Source organism: Homo sapiens, chromosome 1 (genome assembly GCF_000001405.40).
Source record: "Homo sapiens chromosome 1, GRCh38.p14 Primary Assembly".
Lineage (NCBI taxonomy): Eukaryota > Metazoa > Chordata > Mammalia > Primates > Hominidae > Homo > Homo sapiens.
Genome location: NC_000001.11, coordinates 120,818,065 through 120,836,950, shown reverse-complemented (window position 1 = coordinate 120,836,950; position 18,886 = coordinate 120,818,065). Strand labels below are relative to the sequence as shown.

The following is an 18,886-nucleotide window of genomic DNA, read 5'->3' as shown; positions in this document are numbered from 1 at the left end:
GAGAAAGTGAGCTCAGCGAGTTGGCCGGGTGACACACTGATGAAGGGGTCAAAGGACACTCTGAGTTAGTGCCCTCGGGACACACAGCGAACAGTGATCATGAAAAGAGTGGGCTCAATAATTTTCCATAAACTTGCTCAAGATTCCATGCAGTTGCCATACAGCCTTTGAGGTATGGTCAACCTATAGTAAGTTAGTAAATGATAAGGGGAGGAAGAAATGGAAACCTAAACATCTACCGCAATGAAAACCAACAGCAATGTCAGTAGGAGTAATTCAACCTTCGTTGAAAACATGAAATTGAACACACTCTTGTTTTCCCTGGACCTGGCATCTCCAGGTGTCAACACAGAATTAAGCATCCATAATTGCTCAAAGTTACCTGGGGCATGATGGGTCTTGGTCTTCTTCCACTTCTTGGTACTTTTCAATTTCTGCAATAAGTTCAGACATGGACAGACATATTAAGCTGGTTCTCCTACACACATAACAATCCACTGTCTAATCCTCACACAGGGACTTCAGGCTCCTCAGCATGAGAATAGGACACTGTGAGAGATATTCTTCAGGAGGCCTGAAGGCTGATCACCATAGAGATTCCTTGGTTTTTGTCCCAGAAACTGTGGGTAAAATTCCCTATTCTGGTAGATCGTTATCCCAATATCATTTGTCCCAAGTTTGTGCAAATGGTTATGCCATATTTTTCCAATCGATTTAAAGCAAATGCCCCCAAATGGTTGCTAGGAGAAAAACTGCACTATTCAGCCCTGTCTCATCAAATACTCAGATTGTTCATGGTAGTGAGGATTTTAGACGCTGAAATTAGAGTGAAGGATGAAATCTACAAGATCTACAAAATTGAGACAAAATCAGAGTTGTGTGAATTTGTCACATCTGCCCAGGTCCAATGTCATGAGAGTAGGATTAGGGTGCCACAGGCATGGGTGACCTAGTGAATTGGCCAGGTGACATACTGGTAATGGAGTAAAAGGACACTCTGAGTTAGTGCCCTCATGACACACAGCAAACTGTGATCATGAAAAGAGTGAGCTCAATAGTTTTCCATAAAATATGCTCAAAATTCGATGCAGTGGCCATGAGAGTACAGCTTTTGAAGTATGGTCAACCTGTGGTACGTTAGTAAATGATAAGGGGAGGAAGAAATGGAAACCTAAACATCTACTGCAATGAAAACCAACAGCAATGACAGGAGGAGTAATTCAGCCTTCGTTGAAAACATGACATCAAACACACTCTGGTTTCCCTGAATCTGTTGCCTCCAGGTGTTAACACAGAATTAAGCATCCACAATTGCTGAAAGTCACCTGGGGCATGGTGGGTTTTGATCTTCTTCCCCTTCTTTTCTTCCCCTTCTTCTTTCCTTCTTTGATCTTCTTCCCCTTCTTTTCTTCCCCTTCCCCTTCTTTTCAATTTCTGCAATAAATTCAGACATGGACAGACACATTAAGCTGATTCCCCTACACACATAACAATCCACTGTCTAATCCTCACACAGGGACCTCAGGCTCCTCAGCATAAGAATAGGACACTGTGAGAGATATATTTCAGGAGGCCTGAAGGCTGGTCATGATAGAAATTCCTCGGTTTTTCTCCCAGAAACTGTGGGTAAAATGTCCCTATTCTAGTAGATCGTTATCCCAATATCATTTGTCCCAAATTTGTGCAAACAGTTATGCCATATTTTTACAATCAACTTAAAGCAAATACCCTCAAATGATTTCTAGGAGAAAAACTGCAATATTTAGCCCTGTCTCATCAAATAGTCAGATTGTTCATGGTTGTGAGGACTTTAGACACTGAAATTAGAGTGAAAAAGGAAATCTACAAACCCTTGAGTCAAAATCATAGTTCTCTGAATTTGTCACATCTGCCCAGGTCCAATGTCATGAGAATAGGATCAGGGCGCCACAGGTATGGCCTGAGACTAGGAAGAGAGTCTTGCTCACTGACCCATCCCTTGTCTGGGCTTCCAGGTAGAACTAGAGTTTCATTCAACCTACATGTGCGTATAGGTCCTCCCTGTGGCAATGACATCTCTCAGCTCAGTAATGGCCACTTGGAGCAGGAATATGATCTTTATATGGAAGACTCAGTGGATCCTTATCACCTTCATAGAAAGGTACTCACCTCCCACGTCAAGAGAAAAGCCAACATGTTTTTCCTCCAATGCATAAAAGGAACTTCCATAGGGCTGGCAGGAGTCAGGCTGTTCAAGACAACTGGAAGGAGTTGAATAACATCTATCCAGTGAGTCCTGCAAGACTTCAGGCTCTACTACCTCCAGCAGCTCCCTGCTGAGCCTGGAAAAGGAGGAAAAAGTAAAGAATAAGCCAGGGGAAATCAGACACAACAGAGCCCCAACTAGGTTCATGGGTAAAGTTACCTGGGGCATGATGGGTCTTGGTCTTCTTCCACTTCTTGGTACTTTTCAATTTCTGCAATAAGTTCAGACATGGACAGATATATTAAGCTGGTTCTCCTACACACATAACAATCCACTGTCTAATCCTCACACAGGGACTTCAGGCTCCTCAGCATGAGAATAGGACACTGTGAGAGATATTCTTCAGGAGGCCTGAAGGCTGATCACCATAGAGATTCCTTGGTTTTTGTCCCAGAAACTGTGGGTAAAATTCCCTATTCTGGTAGATCGTTATCCCAATATCATTTGTCCCAAGTTTGTGCAAATGGTTATGCCATATTTTTCCAATCGATTTAAAGCAAATGCCCCCAAATGGTTGCTAGGAGAAAAACTGCACTATTCAGCCCTGTCTCATCAAATACTCAGATTGTTCATGGTAGTGAGGATTTTAGACGCTGAAATTAGAGTGAAGGATGAAATCTACAAGATCTACAAAATTGAGACAAAATCAGAGTTGTGTGAATTTGTCACATCTGCCCAGGTCCAATGTCATGAGAGTGGGATTAGGGTGCCACAGGCATGGCCTGAGACTAGGAAGAGAGCCTTGCTCACTGACCCATCCCTTGTCTGGGCTTCCAAGTGGAACTAGAGTTTCATTCAACCTACATGTGCCTATAGGTCCTCCCTGTGGCAATGACATCTCTCAGCTCAGTAAGGGCCACTTGCAGTAGGAATATGACCCTAACCAGAAGACTCAGTGGATCCTTATCACCTTCATAGAAAGGTACTCACCATCCATGTCAACAGCCAAGCCAACACGCTGTTGCTCCAATATGTAAAAGGCACTTCTGTAGGGCTGGCATGAGTCAGTCAGTTCAAGACAACCTGAAGGAGTTGAATAACATCTATCCAGTGAGTCCTGCAAGACTTCAGGCCCTTTCTCATCCAGCAGCTCCCTGCTGAGCCTGGAAAAGTGGGAAAAAGTAAAGAATAAGCCAGGGGGAATCAGAAACCACACAGCCCCAGCTAGATTTCATGGCTAACGTAAGGAAGAGTTTGAAAAGAAAAAGGACAGATCCATTAATGAGGTAACAAATTATTGCCTTTATGTTGGGATAGAACAGGGCCAGGTAGAAAACAATGAAAGAGAAAGACAGAGAGAGAGAGAGACAGAGACAGAGAGAGAGACAGAGACAGAGAGAAAGTGACCTAGTGAATTGGCCAGGTGACATACTGGTAATGGAGTAAAAGGACACTCTGAGTTAGTGCCCTCATGACACACAGCAAACTGTGATCATGAAAAGAGTGAGCTCAATAGTTTTCCATAAAATATGCTCAAAATTCGATGCAGTGGCCATGAGAGTACAGCTTTTGAAGTATGGTCAACCTGTGGTACGTTAGTAAATGATAAGGGGAGGAAGAAATGGAAACCTAAACATCTACTGCAATGAAAACCAACAGCAATGACAGGAGGAGTAATTCAGCCTTCGTTGAAAACATGACATCAAACACACTCTGGTTTCCCTGAATCTGTTGCCTCCAGGTGTTAACACAGAATTAAGCATCCACAATTGCGAAAGTCACCTGGGGCATGGTGGGTTTTGATCTTCTTCCCCTTCTTTTCTTCCCCTTCTTCTTTCCTTCTTTGATCTTCTTCCCCTTCTTTTCTTCCCCTTCCCCTTCTTTTCAATTTCTGCAATAAATTCAGACATGGACAGACACATTAAGCTGATTCCCCTACACACATAACAATCCACTGTCTAATCCTCACACAGGGACCTCAGGCTCCTCAGCATAAGAATAGGACACTGTGAGAGATATATTTCAGGAGGCCTGAAGGCTGGTCATGATAGAAATTCCTCGGTTTTTCTCCCAGAAACTGTGGGTAAAGTGTCCCTATTCTAGTAGATCGTTATCCCAATATCATTTGTCCCAAGTTTGTGCAAACAGTTATGCCATATTTTTACAATCAACTTAAAGCAAATACCCTCAAATGATTTCTAGGAGAAAAACTGCAATATTTAGCCCTGTCTCATCAAATAGTCAGATTGTTCATGGTTGTGAGGACTTTAGACACTGAAATTAGAGTGAAAAAGGAAATCTACAAACCCTTGAGTCAAAATCATAGTTCTCTGAATTTGTCACATCTGCCCAGGTCCAATGTCATGAGAACAGGATCAGGGCGCCACAGGTATGGCCTGAGACTAGGAAGAGAGTCTTGCTCACTGACCCATCCCTTGTCTGGGCTTCCAGGTAGAACTAGAGTTTCATTCAACCTACATGTGCGTATAGGTCCTCCCTGTGGCAATGACATCTCTCAGCTCAGTAATGGCCACTTGGAGCAGGAATATGATCTTTATATGGAAGACTCAGTGGATCCTTATCACCTTCATAGAAAGGTACTCACCTCCCACGTCAAGAGAAAAGCCAACATGTTTTTCCTCCAATGCATAAAAGGAACTTCCATAGGGCTGGCAGGAGTCAGGCTGTTCAAGACAACTGGAAGGAGTTGAATAACATCTATCCAGTGAGTCCTGCAAGACTTCAGGCTCTACTACCTCCAGCAGCTCCCTGCTGAGCCTGGAAAAGGAGGAAAAAGTAAAGAATAAGCCAGGGGAAATCAGACACAACAGAGCCCCAACTAGGTTTCATGGGTAGCATAGGGAAGTGGTTAAAAAACTAAAAGGATAGATCCATTAATGAGGTAACAAATTATTGCCTTCATGTTGGGACAGAACAGGGCCAAATGGAAAAGAATGAAAGAGAAAGACAGATAGACACACACACACACACACACACACACACACACACACACAGAGAGAGAGAGAGAACGAGCTCAGTGAATTGTCCAGGTGACACACTGATGAGGGAGTAACAGGACACTCTGAGTTAGTGCCCTCAGGACACACAGCATACAGGGATCATGAAAAGACTGTGCTCAATAATTTTCCATAAAATGTGCTCAAGTTTCCATGCAGTCGCCATGAGAATACAGTTTTTGAAGTCTGGTCCACCTACAGTAGGTTAGTAAATGAGAAGGGGAGGAAGAAATGGAAACCTAAATATCTACTGCAATGAAAACCAACAGCAATGTTAGTAGGAATAATTCAGGCTTGGTTGAAAAGATGTAATCGATAATGTCAGCCCGCTCTGTTTTCCCTGAACCAGGAGTCTCCAGATGTCAACACAGAAGTAGCTGTTCACAATTGCTCAGTTACCTGGGGCATGGTGGGCCTTGGTCTTCTTCCTCTTCTTGGTCCTTTTTAATTCCTGCAATACATTCAGACAGGGACAGACAAAATAAGCCAATTCACCTACACCCATAACAGTCCACTGTCTAATCCCCACACAGGGATCTCAGGCTCCTCAGCATGAGAACAGGACAATGTGAGAGATATACTTCAGGAGGCCTGAAAGCTGGTCATGATATTCTTTGGTTTGCATCTCAGAACCAAGGGTGAAATATCCCCATTCTGGTAGATCGTTATCCCAAAATCATTTATCCCAAGTTTGTGCAAACAGTTATGCCTTATTGTTCCCATCAGTTCAAAGAAAATGCCCCAGATGATTTCTAGGAGGAAAACTGCAGTATTCAGCCCTGTCTCATCAAATGCCCAGCTCGTTCATGGATGCAAGAATTTTAGACACTGAAATTAGAATGAAGGAGGAAATCTACAAACCCTTGAGTCCAAATCATACTTCTGTGAATTTTTTACATCTGCCTGGGTCCAATGTGCTGAGAGCGGGCTCAGGTTGCCACAGGCATGGCTGGAGACTAGGAATGGAGCCTTGCTCACTGACCCATTTCATGTCTAGGCTTCCAACTGAGACTACAGTTTCATTACAACCTATATGCGCCCATAGGTCCTGCCTGCGGCAATGACATCTCTCGGGTCAGTAAGGGCCACTTGGAACAGGAATATCACCCCTATCTGGAAGACCAGGTGGAGGCTTATCACCTTCATAGTAAGGTACTCACTGTCCACGTCAAGAGCCAAGCCAAGGTACTGTTCCTCCAATGAGTAAACAGCACTGCTGTAGGGCTGGCCTAAGTCAGGCAGTTCAAGATAACCTGAAGGAGTCGAATAACATCTACCCAGTGAGTCCTGCAAGACTTCAGGCTCTTTCTCATCCAGCAGCTCCCTGCTGAGCCTGGAAAAGTAGGAAAAAGTAAAGAATAAGCCAGGGGGAATCAGAAACCACACAGCCCCAGCTAGATTTCATGGCTAACATAAGGAACTGTTTAAAAAGAAAAAGGACAGATCCATTAATGAGGTAATGAATTATTGCCTTTAGGTTGGGATAGACCAGGGCCAGGTAGAAAAGAATGAAAGAGAAAGACAGGGAGAGGCAGAGAGAGAGAGAGAGAGGAGAAAGTGAGCTCAGCGAGTTGGCCGGGTGACACACTGATGAAGGGGTCAAAGGACACTCTGAGTTAGTGCCCTCGGGACACACAGCGAACAGTGATCATGAAAAGAGTGGACTCAATAATTTTCCATAAACTTGCTCAAGATTCCATGCAGTTGCCATACAGCCTTTGAGGTATGGTCAACCTATAGTAAGTTAGTAAATGATAAGGGGAGGAAGAAATGGAAACCTAAACATCTACCGCAATGAAAACCAACAGCAATGTCAGTAGGAGTAATTCAACCTTCGTTGAAAACATGAAATTGAACACACTCTTGTTTTCCCTGGACCTGGCATCTCCAGGTGTCAACACAGAATTAAGCATCCATAATTGCTCAAAGTTACCTGGGGCATGATGGGTCTTGGTCTTCTTCCACTTCTTGGTACTTTTCAATTTCTGCAATAAGTTCAGACATGGACAGATATATTAAGCTGGTTCTCCTACACACATAACAATCCACTGTCTAATCTTCACACAGGGACTTCAGGCTCCTCAGCATGAGAATAGGACACTGTGAGAGATATTCTTCAGGAGGCCTGAAGGCTGATCACCATAGAGATTCCTTGGTTTTTGTCCCAGAAACTGTGGGTAAAATTCCCTATTCTGGTAGATCGTTATCCCAATATCATTTGTCCCAAGTTTGTGCAAATGGTTATGCCATATTTTTCCAATCGATTTAAAGCAATTGCCCCCAAATGGTTGCTAGGAGAAAAACTGCACTATTCAGCCCTGTCTCATCAAATACTCAGATTGTTCATGGTAGCGAGGATTTTAGACGCTGAAATTAGAGTGAAGGATGAAATCTACAAGATCTACAAATTGAGACAAATCAGAGTTGGTGTGAATTTGTCACATCTGGCCCAGTCAAAATTCGATGCAGTGGCCATGAGAGTACAGCTTTTGAAGTATGGTCAACCTATAGTACGTTAGTAAATGATAAGGGGAGGAAGAAATGGAAACCTAAACATCTACTGCAATGAAAACCAACAGCAATGACAGGAGGAGTAATTCAACCTTCGTTGAAAACATGAAATTGAACACACTCTTGTTTTCCCTGGACCTGGCATCTCCAGGTGTCAACACAGAATTAAGCATCCATAATTGCTCAAAGTTACCTGGGGCATGATGGGTCTTGGTCTTCTTCCACTTCTTGGTACTTTTCAATTTCTGCAATAAGTTCAGACATGGACAGATATATTAAGCTGATTCCCCTACACACATAACAATCCACTGTCTAATCTTCACACAGGGACTTCAGGCTCCTCAGCATGAGAATAGGACACTGTGAGAGATATTCTTCAGGAGGCCTGAAGGCTGATCACCATAGAGATTCCTTGGTTTTTGTCCCAGAAACTGTGGGTAAAATTCCCTATTCTGGTAGATCGTTATCCCAATATCATTTGTCCCAAGTTTGTGCAAATGGTTATGCCATATTTTTCCAATCGATTTAAAGCAATTGCCCCCAAATGGTTGCTAGGAGAAAAACTGCACTATTCAGCCCTGTCTCATCAAATACTCAGATTGTTCATGGTAGCGAGGATTTTAGACGCTGAAATTAGAGTGAAGGATGAAATCTACAAGATCTACAAAATTGAGACAAAATCAGAGTTGTGTGAATTTGTCACATCTGCCCAGGTCCAATGTCATGAGAGTAGGATTAGGGCGCCACAGGCATGGCCTGAGACTAGGAAGAGCGCCTTGCTCACTGACCCATCCCTTGTCTGGGCTTCCAAGTGGAACTAGAGCTTCATTCAACCTACATGTGCCTATAGGTCCTCCCTGTGGCAATGACATCCCTCAGCTCAGTAAGGGCCACTTGCAGTAGGAATATGACCCTAACCAGAAGACTCAGTGGATCCTCACACAGCGAACAGTGATCATGAAAAGAGTGGGCTCAATAATTTTCCATAAACTTGCTCAAGATTCCATGCAGTTGCCATACAGCCTTTGAGGTATGGTCAACCTATAGTAAGTTACTAAATGATAAGGGGAGGAAGAAATGGAAACCTAAACATCTACTGCAATGAAAACCAACAGCAATGTCAGTAGGCGTAATTCAACCTTCGTTGAAAACATGAAATTGAATACACTCTTGTTTTCCCTGGACCTGGCATCTCCAGGTGTCAACACAGAATTAAGCATCCATAATTGCTCAAAGTTACCTGGGGCATGATGGGTCTTGGTCTTCTTCCACTTCTTGGTACTTTTCAATTTCTGCAATAAGTTCAGACATGGACAGACATATTAAGCTGGTTCTCCTACACACATAACAATCCACTGTCTAATCCTCACACAGGGACTTCAGGCTCCTCAGCATGAGAATAGGACACTGTGAGAGATATTCTTCAGGAGGCCTGAAGGCTGATCACCATAGAGATTCCTTGGTTTTTGTCCCAGAAACTGTGGGTAAAATTCCCTATTCTGGTAGATCGTTATCCCAATATCATTTGTCCCAAGTTTGTGCAAATGGTTATGCCATATTTTTCCAATCGATTTAAAGCAAATGCCCCCAAATGGTTGCTAGGAGAAAAACTGCACTATTCAGCCCTGTCTCATCAAATACTCAGATTGTTCATGGTAGCGAGGATTTTAGACGCTGAAATTAGAGTGAAGGATGAAATCTACAAGATCTACAAAATTGAGACAAAATCAGAGTTGTGTGAATTTGTCACATCTGCCCAGGTCCAATGTCATGAGAGTAGGATTAGGGCGCCACAGGCATGGCCTGAGACTAGGAAGAGCGCCTTGCTCACTGACCCATCCCTTGTCTGGGCTTCCAAGTGGAACTAGAGCTTCATTCAACCTACATGTGCCTATAGGTCCTCCCTGTGGCAATGACATCCCTCAGCTCAGTAAGGGCCACTTGCAGTAGGAATATGACCCTAACCAGAAGACTCAGTGGATCCTTATCACCTTCATAGAAAGGTACTCACCATCCATGTCAACAGCCAAGCCAACACGCTGTTGCTCCAATATGTAAAAGGCACTTCTGTAGGGCTGGCATGAGTCAGTCAGTTCAAGACAACCTGAAGGAGTTGAATAGCATCTATCCAGTGACTCCTGCAAGACTTCAGGCTCTTTCTCATCCAACAGCTCCCCGCTGAGCCTGGAAAAGTGGGAAAAAGTAAAGAATAAGCCAGGGGGAATCAGAAACCACACAGCTCCAGCTAGATTTCATGGCTAAGATAAGGAACTGTTTAAAAAGAAAAAGGACAGATCCATTACTGAGGGAATGAATTATTGCCTTTAGGTTGGGATAAACCAGGGCCAGGTAGAAAAGAACGAAAGAGAAAGACAGGGAGAGGGAGAGAGAGAGAGAGGAGAAAGTGAGCTCAGTGAATTGGCCGGGTGACACACAGATGAAGGGGTCAAAGGACACTTTGAGTTAGTTCCCTCGGGACACACAGCGAACAGTGATCATGAAAAGAGTGGGCTCAATAATTTTCCATAAACTTGCTCAAGATTCCATGCAGTTGCCATACAGCCTTTGAGGTATGGTCAACCTATAGTAAGTTAGTAAATGATAAGGGGAGGAAGAAATGGAAACCTAAACATCTACCGCAATGAAAACCAACAGCAATGTCAGTAGGAGTAATTCAACCTTCGTTGAAAACATGAAATTGAACACACTCTTGTTTTCCCTGGACCTGGCATCTCCAGGTGTCAACACAGAATTAAGCATCCATAATTGCTCAAAGTTACCTGGGGCATGATGGGTCTTGGTCTTCTTCCACTTCTTGGTACTTTTCAATTTCTGCAATAAGTTCAGACATGGACAGACATATTAAGCTGGTTCTCCTACACACATAACAATCCACTGTCTAATCCTCACACAGGGACTTCAGGCTCCTCAGCATGAGAATAGGACACTGTGAGAGATATTCTTCAGGAGGCCTGAAGGCTGATCACCATAGAGATTCCTTGGTTTTTGTCCCAGAAACTGTGGGTAAAATTCCCTATTCTGGTAGATCGTTATCCCAATATCATTTGTCCCAAGTTTGTGCAAATGGTTATGCCATATTTTTCCAATCGATTTAAAGCAAATGCCCCCAAATGGTTGCTAGGAGAAAAACTGCACTATTCAGCCCTGTCTCATCAAATACTCAGATTGTTCATGGTAGCGAGGATTTTAGACGCTGAAATTAGAGTGAAGGATGAAATCTACAAGATCTACAAAATTGAGACAAAATCAGAGTTGTGTGAATTTGTCACATCTGCCCAGGTCCAATGTCATGAGAGTAGGATTAGGGCGCCACAGGCATGGCCTGAGACTAGGAAGAGCGCCTTGCTCACTGACCCATCCCTTGTCTGGGCTTCCAAGTGGAACTAGAGCTTCATTCAACCTACATGTGCCTATAGGTCCTCCCTGTGGCAATGACATCCCTCAGCTCAGTAAGGGCCACTTGCAGTAGGAATATGACCCTAACCAGAAGACTCAGTGGATCCTTATCACCTTCATAGAAAGGTACTCACCATCCATGTCAACAGCCAAGCCAACACGCTGTTGCTCCAATATGTAAAAGGCACTTCTGTAGGGCTGGCATGAGTCAGTCAGTTCAAGACAACCTGAAGGAGTTGAATAGCATCTATCCAGTGACTCCTGCAAGACTTCAGGCTCTTTCTCATCCAACAGCTCCCCGCTGAGCCTGGAAAAGTGGGAAAAAGTAAAGAATAAGCCAGGGGGAATCAGAAACCACACAGCTCCAGCTAGATTTCATGGCTAAGATAAGGAACTGTTTAAAAAGAAAAAGGACAGATCCATTACTGAGGGAATGAATTATTGCCTTTAGGTTGGGATAAACCAGGGCCAGGTAGAAAAGAACGAAAGAGAAAGACAGGGAGAGGGAGAGAGAGAGAGAGGAGAAAGTGAGCTCAGTGAATTGGCCGGGTGACACACAGATGAAGGGGTCAAAGGACACTCTGAGTTAGTGCCCTCGGGACACACAGCGAACAGTGATCATGAAAAGAGTGGGCTCAATAATTTTCCATAAACTTGCTCAAGATTCCATGCAGTTGCCATACAGCCTTTGAGGTATGGTCAACCTATAGTAAGTTACTAAATGATAAGGGGAGGAAGAAATGGAAACCTAAACATCTACTGCAATGAAAACCAACAGCAATGTCAGTAGGCGTAATTCAACCTTCGTTGAAAACATGAAATTGAATACACTCTTGTTTTCCCTGGACCTGGCATCTCCAGGTGTCAACACAGAATTAAGCATCCATAATTGCTCAAAGTTACCTGGGGCATGATGGGTCTTGGTCTTCTTCCACTTCTTGGTACTTTTCAATTTCTGCAATAAGTTCAGACATGGACAGACATATTAAGCTGGTTCTCCTACACACATAACAATCCACTGTCTAATCCTCACACAGGGACTTCAGGCTCCTCAGCATGAGAATAGGACACTGTGAGAGATATTCTTCAGGAGGCCTGAAGGCTGATCACCATAGAGATTCCTTGGTTTTTGTCCCAGAAACTGTGGGTAAAATTCCCTATTCTGGTAGATCGTTATCCCAATATCATTTGTCCCAAGTTTGTGCAAATGGTTATGCCATATTTTTCCAATCGATTTAAAGCAAATGCCCCCAAATGGTTGCTAGGAGAAAAACTGCACTATTCAGCCCTGTCTCATCAAATACTCAGATTGTTCATGGTAGTGAGGATTTTAGACGCTGAAATTAGAGTGAAGGATGAAATCTACAAGATCTACAAAATTGAGACAAAATCAGAGTTGTGTGAATTTGTCACATCTGCCCAGGTCCAATGTCATGAGAGTAGGATTAGGGTGCCACAGGCATGGCCTGAGACTAGGAAGAGAGCCTTGCTCACTGACCCATCCCTTGTCTGGGCTTCCAAGTGGAACTAGAGTTTCATTCAACCTACATGTGCCTATAGGTCCTCCCTGTGGCAATGACATCTCTCAGCTCAGTAAGGGCCACTTGCAGTAGGAATATGACCCTAACCAGAAGACTCAGTGGATCCTTATCACCTTCATAGAAAGGTACTCACCATCCATGTCAACAGCCAAGCCAACACGCTGTTGCTCCAATACGTAAAAGGCACTTCTGTAGGGCTGGCATGAGTCAGTCAGTTCAAGACAACCTGAAGGAGTTGAATAACATCTATCCAGTGAGTCCTGCAAGACTTCAGGCCCTTTCTCATCCAGCAGCTCTCTGCTGAGCCTGGAAAAGTGGGAAAAAGTAAAGAATAAGCCAGGGGGAATCAGAAACCACACAGCCCCAGCTAGATTTCATGGCTAATGTAAGGAAGAGTTTGAAAAGAAAAAGGACAGATCCATTAATGAGGTAACAGATTATTGCCTTTATGTTGGGATAGAACAGGGCCAGGTAGAAAAAGATGAAAGACACACACACACACACACACACACACACACACACACACAGAGCGAGCTCAGTGAATTGGTCAGGTGACACACTGATGAGGGAGTCAAAGGACACTCTGTATTTGTGCTCTCAGGACACACAGTGAACAGTGATCATGAAAAGCATGTCCTCAATAATTTTGCGTAAAATGTGGTCAAGTTTCCCTGCAGTTACCATGAGAATACAGCTTTTGAGGTATGGTCAACTTTCACTAGGTTAGTAAATGATAAGGGTAGGAAGAAATGGAAACCTAAAGATTTACTCTAATGAGAACCAAAAAGCAATGTAGTAGGCATAATTCAGACTTGTCTGACAAGACAAAATCATTATTTTCAGCATGTACTGTTTTCCCTGGACTTGGCATCTCCAGGTGTCAACATCAAATTAACTGTCCACAATTTCTCAGACTCACCTGGGACCTGTTGCCTCGTGGTCCTCCTTTTTCACTTGATCCCACCGATGTCCTGCAAATAAATTCAGATGGGCCCTCTTACATTAAGCAGTTCTTCCTTGCACACAGAAACATTCCTCTGTCCAATCCTAACACAGGGACATCAGTCTTGTCAGTGTGAGAACAGGAGACTTTGAGAGAAATATTCCAGTAGGCCTGAGGTCAAGTCTTGAGAAAACTGGCTTGGGTTCTTTCATGAGCCTTGGGCAAAATTCCCCTGTGTTGGAATGTTATCTTCCCTATGTGCTCTGTCCTAGGTTTATGTACACAAATGAGCAATTTTTTCCCCAATAAATTGTAGGCAAATAGTTCTAACACCTCATAGGAGAGATACTTCAATATTAGGCTTTTCTCATTAAATACCCAGAATTTGATAGTTTATGAGATTGTGGACACAGAGATTTGATGAAAGGGTGCAATGTACCAGCTCTTGAGTCAAAATGAAACTTGGTTCTACACAGAAGCATCAGCTATTATGGCTTTTGTGGGTGAAAAGTCAGCCATTTATCTAGAAAACATACCAGGAACATGACGGACAGATGAGCTAAAACAAGCGAACTTAGAAGACACAGAAAATGGGAATAAATTCAGTGAAACCTGGGTCACATCTTTCACTGAGAGGTAGACAAGGGTGACACTGGCCTTGGGCAGGTAAAGAACCACACAGACATGCTTTGGGAACAAAACTCATAAGGAATTTTGTAGCTGGCAAGAGACATTTAATTCAGATGAGCTGAGCTGACAGACAACTCCTGGGCATGTGCTGCATAGTTTGGTGTGAGTTTGCCACACCTGCCTTGAGTTCAATGTCGTGACAGTCAGTCCAGGTTGGCACGGGCATGGCCTGAGACTAGGAAGAGAGCAAAGCTCACTGACCCACCCCATGCCTGTGCTTCAGACTCGACTCCAGAGTGATTGAAATCTACATTGATATATAGGTTCAGCCCACAGTGATGGCAAATCTCAGCCCAAGAAGGGGCACAAGGCCCAAAGATTATGGGGTCTACCTGGGCCATGAACTGGAGCTTTATCACCTTCACAATGGAGTACTCACTGCCTATGTCAACAGCCATGCAGACTTGCTGTTCCTCTAATGAGTGAAATGTGCTGCTGTAAGACTTGTACGAGGCTAACATTTCAGGAGGAATTGAGAGAGTCGAATAACCTTCATCCCAGGACTCCTGGGGGACTTCCTCCTCTTCAGACTCCTGCAGATTCCTGATGAGCCAGGCAGGACAGGGATGACAGAAGATTTAACCAACAGACTTTAGACAACAAAACCTCCCAGATGATCTGATGGGAGACAGAATGGAGTGGTCACAGAAACCAAAGGCATTTTTCCTTCAAGAGGAATAAAACTATCCTTCTAAATACAGGGTGGAGGGTGACTGCTCTGGGGACAGAGCAAAAATGGGCAGCGTGTGCTCAGTACATTTGCCACAGATGAGCCAACTCAGGGCACCCAGACTCTCCCTGTAAACTACCATCATGACTTGCAGCACAGAGAACTGACACAGGGCTTCAACTACTTTGCATAAATTGGGTTGAATTTTACATGCAGCATTCAAGTGAAGAGAGTTCTTGACGCAGTGCAGACACAGATCTTGTGTATTAAGGGCCCCATTTTCCCAATATTTTGATATAATATATTTACTTTTTCAATTTCTTTTCTTGCAAAAATACTAGCCAACATACTACCAACAAATAGGAAGAAAGCATATATACACCTCTCCCTGGATTTAAACACATGGGAGAGAATAGGCAACACCAAGAAATCCCTGTTTGAGGGTCTGGAGTGGACTTCCAGCAAACTCCAACAGACCTGAAGCTGAGGGACCTGACTGTTAGAAGGAAAACTAACACACAGAAAGGAATAGCATCAACATCAACAAAAAAGACATCCACCCCAAAACCCCATCTGTAGGTCGCCATCATCAAAGACCAAGGGTAGATAAAACCACAAAGGTGGGGAGAAACCAGAGCACAAAAGCTGAAAATTCCAAAAACCTGACATCCCTTCTCCTCCAAAGGATCGCAGCTCCTCGCCAGCAATGGAACAAAGCAGGATGGAGAATGACTTTGATGAGCTGACAGAAGTAGGCTTCAGAAAGTCGGTAATAACAAACTTCTCTGAGCTAAAGGAGGATGTGCGAACTCATCGCAAGGAAGCTAAAAACCTTGAAAAAAGATTAGACGAATGGCTAACCAGAATGAACAGTGTAGAGAAGACCTTAAATGACCTGATGGAGCTGAAAACCATGGCACGAGAACTATGTGATGCATGCACAAGCTTCAGTAGCCAATTCGATCAAGTGCAAGAAACGGTATCAGTGATTCAAGATCAAATTAGTGAAATGAAGCGAGAAGAGAAGTTTAGAGAAAAAAGAGTAAAAAGAAATGAACAAGCCTCCAATAAATATGGGACTATGTGGAAAGACCAAATCTACGTTTGATTGGTGTACTGAAAGTGACGGGGAGAATGGAACCAAGCTGGGAAACATTCTTCAGGATATTATCCAGGAGGACTTCCCCAACCTAGCAAGGAAGGCCAACATTCAAATTCAGGAAACACAGAGAACACCATAAAGATACTCCTCGAGAAGAGCAACCCCAAAACACGTAATTGTCAGATTCACCAAGGTTGAAATGAAGGAAAAAATGCTAAGGGCAGCCAGAGAGAAAGGTCGGATTACCCACAAAGGGAAACCCATCAGACTAGCAGCAGATCTCTTGGCACAAACCCTACAAGCCAGAAGAGAGTGGGAGCAATATTCAACATTCTTTTTTTTTTCCATATGTATAGTTTTCCTTTATTATTTTTTGTGTGTATGTATATATATATATATATATATATATATATATATATATATATATTTTTAATACTTTAAGTCTTAGGGTACATGTGCACAACGTGCAGGTTAGTTACATATGTATACATGTCCACATTGGTGTGCTTCACCCATTAACTCATCATTTAACATTAGGTATATCTCCTAATGCTACCCCTCCCCCCTCCCCCCACCCTACAACAGGCCCCAGTGTGTGATGTTCCCCTTTCTGTGTCCATGTGTTCTCATTGTTCAATTCCCACCTGTGAGTAAGAACATGCGGTATTTGGTTTTTTGTCCTTGCAATAGTTTGCTGAGAATGATGGTTTCCAGCTTCATCCATGCCCCTACAAAGGACATGAACTCATCATTTTTTATAGCTGCATAGTATTCCATGGTGTATATGTGCCACATTTTCTTAATCCAGTCTATCATTGCTGGATATTTGGCTTGGTTCCAAGTCTTTGCTATTGTGAATAGTGCCGCAATAAACATATGTGTGCATGTGTCTTTACAGCAGCATGATTTATAATCCTTTGGGTATACACCCAGTAATGGGATGGCTGGGTCAAATGGTATTTCTAGTTCTAGATCTCTGAGGAATTGCCACACTGCCTTCCACAATCGTTGAACTAGTTTACAGTCCCACCAACAGTGTAAAAGTGTTCCTATTTCTCCACATCCTCTCCAGCATCTTCAACATTCTTAAAGAAAAGAATTTTCATCCAAGAATTTCATATCCAGCCAAACAAAGCTTCATAAGTGAAGGAGAAATAAATCCTTTACAGAGAAGCAAATGCTGAGAGATTTTGTCACCACCAGGCCTGCCTTACAAGAGCTCCTAAAGGAAGCACTAAACATGGAAAGGAACAATCGGTACCAGCCACTGCAAAAACATGCCAAACTGTAAAGACCATTGACGCTAGGAAGAAACTGCATCAACTAACGGGCGAAATAACCAGCTAACATCATAACGACAGGATCAAATTCACACATAACAATATTAACCTTAAATGTAAATGGGCTAAATGCCCCAGTTAAAAAACACAGAATGGCAAATTGGATAAAGAGTCAAGACCCATCAGTGTGCTGTACTCAGGAAACCCATCTCACATGCAGAGACACACATAGGCTCAAAATAAAGGGATGGAGGAAGATCTACCAAGCAAATGGAAAACAAAAAAAAGGCAGGGGTTGCAATCCTAGTCTCTGATAAAACAGACTTTAAACCAACAAAGATCAAAAGAGACAAAGAAGGCCACTACATAATGGTAAAGGGATCAATTCAACAAGAAGAGTTAACTATCCTAAATATATATGCACCCTAAACAGGAGCACCCAGATTCATAAAGCAAGTCCTGAGAGACCTACAAAGAGATTTAGACTCCACAAAATCATCATGGGAGACTTTAACACCCCACTGTCAATATTAAACAGATCAATGAGACAGAAGCTTAACAAGGATATCCAGGACTTGAACTCAGCTCTCCACCAAGCAGACCTAAAAGACATCTACAGAACTCTCCACACCAAATCAACAGAATATACATTCTTCTCAGCACCACATCACACTTATTCCAAAATTGACCACATAGTTGGAGGTAAAGCACTCGTCAGCAAATGTAAAAGAATGGAAATCACAACAAACTGTCAGACCACAGTGCCATCAAATTAGAACTCAGGATTAAGAAACTCACTCAAAACCGCACAACTACATGGAAACTGAACAACCTGCTCCTGAATGACTACTGGGAAAATAACAAAATGAAGGCAGAAATAAAGATGTTCTTTGAAACCAATGAGAACAAAGATACAACATACCAGAATCTCTGGGACACATTTAAAGCAATGTGTAGAGGGAAAATTATAGCACTAAATGCCCACAAGAGAAAGCAGAAAAGACCTAAAATTGACACCCTAACATCACAATTAAAATAACGAGAGAAGCAAAGCAAACAAATTCAAAAGCTAGCAGAAGACAAGAAGTAACTAAGATCAGAGCAGAACTAAAGGAGAGAGAGACACAAAAAACCCTTCAAAAAATCAATGAATCCAGGGCTGGTTTTTTGAAAAGATCAACAAGAAAACCCTGTTTGGCTAGTTCACCTGGCTCATCTGATGGCAAGTTCCTATCTTGAGAGGACTATGAAATTAAAACCAATACAAGTGCCACAAATAACATACAACATTGTAAATCAGCACAATTTGTAGCTGGGTGAATGGAAGAAATAGTTCTATTCATCACTTCCTCATTTTCCCTAAATCTACAATCTCCAGATGTCACTACTGAATTAACAGCCAACAATTCCACAACATTACCTGGGAGACACTGGTCCTTTTTCTTCCTCTTCCTCATCATCACTTTCATTTTCTGTAAATAAATTCAGAGAAGCAGGTCACATTAAGCAATTCATACTTCACATATGAAC

The 18,886-nt window shown here is 42.9% G+C and overlaps 1 protein-coding gene across 3 annotated transcripts in view; it reads right to left on the bottom strand.

Annotated features, from left to right (window-relative positions):
- NBPF26 (NBPF member 26) overlaps positions 1 to 18,886 on the bottom strand; it is a 118,285-nt gene that overhangs the window by 5,279 nt on the left and 94,120 nt on the right. Inside the window, exons 15-31 of one of the 3 annotated variants that reach the window (NM_001405520.1) lie at positions 18,777 to 18,828; positions 14,684 to 14,847; positions 13,591 to 13,642; positions 12,805 to 12,977; positions 12,034 to 12,085; positions 11,265 to 11,437; positions 10,494 to 10,545; positions 9,725 to 9,897; positions 8,954 to 9,005; positions 6,363 to 6,535; positions 5,602 to 5,653; positions 4,791 to 4,963; positions 3,968 to 4,076; positions 3,176 to 3,348; positions 2,405 to 2,456; positions 2,149 to 2,321; positions 383 to 434 (exon numbers count right to left, since the gene is read on the bottom strand). In NM_001405520.1, coding sequence (NP_001392449.1) covers positions 383 to 434; positions 2,149 to 2,321; positions 2,405 to 2,456; positions 3,176 to 3,348; positions 3,968 to 4,076; positions 4,791 to 4,963; positions 5,602 to 5,653; positions 6,363 to 6,535; positions 8,954 to 9,005; positions 9,725 to 9,897; positions 10,494 to 10,545; positions 11,265 to 11,437; positions 12,034 to 12,085; positions 12,805 to 12,977; positions 13,591 to 13,642; positions 14,684 to 14,847; positions 18,777 to 18,828 — 1,900 coding nt within the window. The remainder of the gene's footprint in view (positions 1 to 382; positions 435 to 2,148; positions 2,322 to 2,404; positions 2,457 to 3,175; positions 3,349 to 3,967; positions 4,077 to 4,790; positions 4,964 to 5,601; positions 5,654 to 6,362; positions 6,536 to 8,953; positions 9,006 to 9,724; positions 9,898 to 10,493; positions 10,546 to 11,264; positions 11,438 to 12,033; positions 12,086 to 12,804; positions 12,978 to 13,590; positions 13,643 to 14,683; positions 14,848 to 18,776; positions 18,829 to 18,886) is intronic. The other 2 variants (NM_001351372.2, NM_001395637.2) reach the window with 2 other exon arrangements.